The sequence below is a fragment of the Homo sapiens genome, chromosome 3, assembly GCF_000001405.40.
Source record: "Homo sapiens chromosome 3, GRCh38.p14 Primary Assembly".
Lineage (NCBI taxonomy): Eukaryota > Metazoa > Chordata > Mammalia > Primates > Hominidae > Homo > Homo sapiens.
Window position 1 is genome coordinate 103,071,813 of NC_000003.12, and position 2,052 is coordinate 103,073,864.

At 35.4% G+C, this 2,052-nt stretch overlaps 1 annotated feature.

The window, feature by feature from the left end:
* Nucleotides 1,604-1,803: a silencer, noted in NCBI's record as "fragment chr3:102792260-102792459 (GRCh37/hg19 assembly coordinates)". NCBI's record gives its function as "represses an EF-1alpha promoter that drives an FKBP-Casp9 reporter gene in an ReSE screen in phorbol 12-myristate 13-acetate-treated (for megakaryocytic differentiation) K562 erythroleukemia cells {active_cell/tissue: K562(+PMA)}" and the evidence as "EXISTENCE:reporter gene assay evidence [ECO:0000049][PMID:32094911]".

A 2,052-nucleotide genomic window follows, 5' to 3' on the forward strand; every position in this document is an offset into this window, starting at 1 on the left:
GTCGCACTGTTATATTGGTGGGGATAACGGTATTACTTTCTTCATAGAGTTGCTGTGATCATGAAATTAATTAATCCATGAATCATACTTAGAATGGAGGCAAATATATTGTAAGCCTCCACTGGTGGCCAACATTATCATTAGTATAATTATAGTCGAGCCCAGTCTCTGTTTCCACACTTTCTACAACATAGTTTTACTAGTTTTGTAGCTTGTTAGTCCGCAAATAAAATTTGTGTGTTTTGACCAACAATGTATAGTTTTTCACAATGAATTCTTGGAAGAAAAATAGTAACATGGATATAGTTTTTTCTTATTTATATGTGTGTGTGTGCATTATATTTTCCTACAGTAATATAAAAATTATTTTATTATTATTGGCTTTATATGTGTGTGTGTGCATTATATTTTCCTACAATAATATAAAAATTATTTTATTATTATTGGCTTTATATGTGTGTGTGTATTATATTTTCCTACAATAATATAAAAATTATTTTATTATTATTGGCTTTAGATGTTACTGCATTTATGCTGTTTTTCACAATGTCAAAGACATCCAACCAGAGTAAATGAAAAATAAGGCAGCTAACTATGTTATTCAGCCACTATCAGGCAAGGCTTGTAGAAATGAACTTGTTTATTGTAAATCAATGTAGAGAATACACATGAAGATTACCCTTGGTGTTTGTTTTGTTACATTATGCTTCTCTTAGAAAATGTTACAATGGGATTCACTAATAAGAAATCATGGCTGGGCATGGTTGCTCATGCTTGTAATCCCAGCACTTTGGGAGGCTGAGGCTGGTGGATCACTTGAGCCCAGGAATTGGAGACCATCCAGGCCAATGTGGAGAAACCCTGTCTCAAAAAAAAAAAAAAAAAAAAAATTATCCAGGTGTGAATGCGTGTACCTGTAGTCCCAGCTACTGGGGACGTTGAGGTGGGCGGATCACTGGAGCCCTGGTGTGCGAGGTTTCATTGAGTAAAGATTGTGCCATTGTGTTCCAACCAGGGTGACAGAGTATAAACCTGTCTCAAAAAAATAATAATAATAAAATAAAAATAAATAAATACATTCTGCTTTTCTATTTAAATGACTTTTTAAAACTAGTTTTACATGGCAAATATTATTTGAATCATAAGGGTTGGAGAATATTCAATAATTAATTAATTTATAACCAAATTATTTATTATCAAGAACTAAAAATTATATATATATTTGTGTTCAACAAATCTTGAAGACTATTAAAAAATAAAGTATGATAGGAAAACATGCACAATTCTCTGAATCTGCTTTAGTTTCCTTATTTAGTTTGAATTTTACCCATGGGAAGACTGTCATCCTTCAAAGTACAATTATGTTTCAATTTTTTTAACTCTTATTTTAGGTTCAGTGGTATATGTGCACGTTTGTTATGTAGGTAAATTGTGTGTCACAGAGGTTTGGTGTACAAATTATTTCACCACTTGGGTAATAAGCATAGTACCCAATAGACAGTTTTTCTATTCTCAACCTCCACCCTCCTTCCACCCTCAAGTAGGCCTCAGTGTCTGTGATTCTTTTTTCCTGTTTTGTTCTGTTTTGTTTTGTTTTGTTTTTTTGGAGACCAAGGCTCGCTCTGTGTTGGCCCGACTGGAGGGCAGTGGCGCAATCTCAGCTCACTGCAGCCTCCACCTCCCTGCTTCAAGCAATTCTCTTGTCTCAGCCTCCTGCATAGCTGGGATTACAGGTGCCCACCACCATGCCCAGTTAATTTTTGTATTTTTAGTAGAGACAGAGTTTCACCATGTTGGCCAGGGTGGTCTCGAACTCCTGACCTCAAGTGATCCACTCGCCTCGGCCTCCTAAAATGCTGGGATTATAGGCATGAGCTATTGCACCCAGCCTGTGATTTTCTTTGTGTCAGTATGTACTCAATGTTTAGCTCCCACTTATAAGTAAGAACATGCAGTATTTAGTTTTCTGTTCCTATATTAGTTTGCTTAGAATAATGGCCTCCAGCTTCATCCATAGTGCTGCAAAGGACATGATATCATTCTTTTTTATAG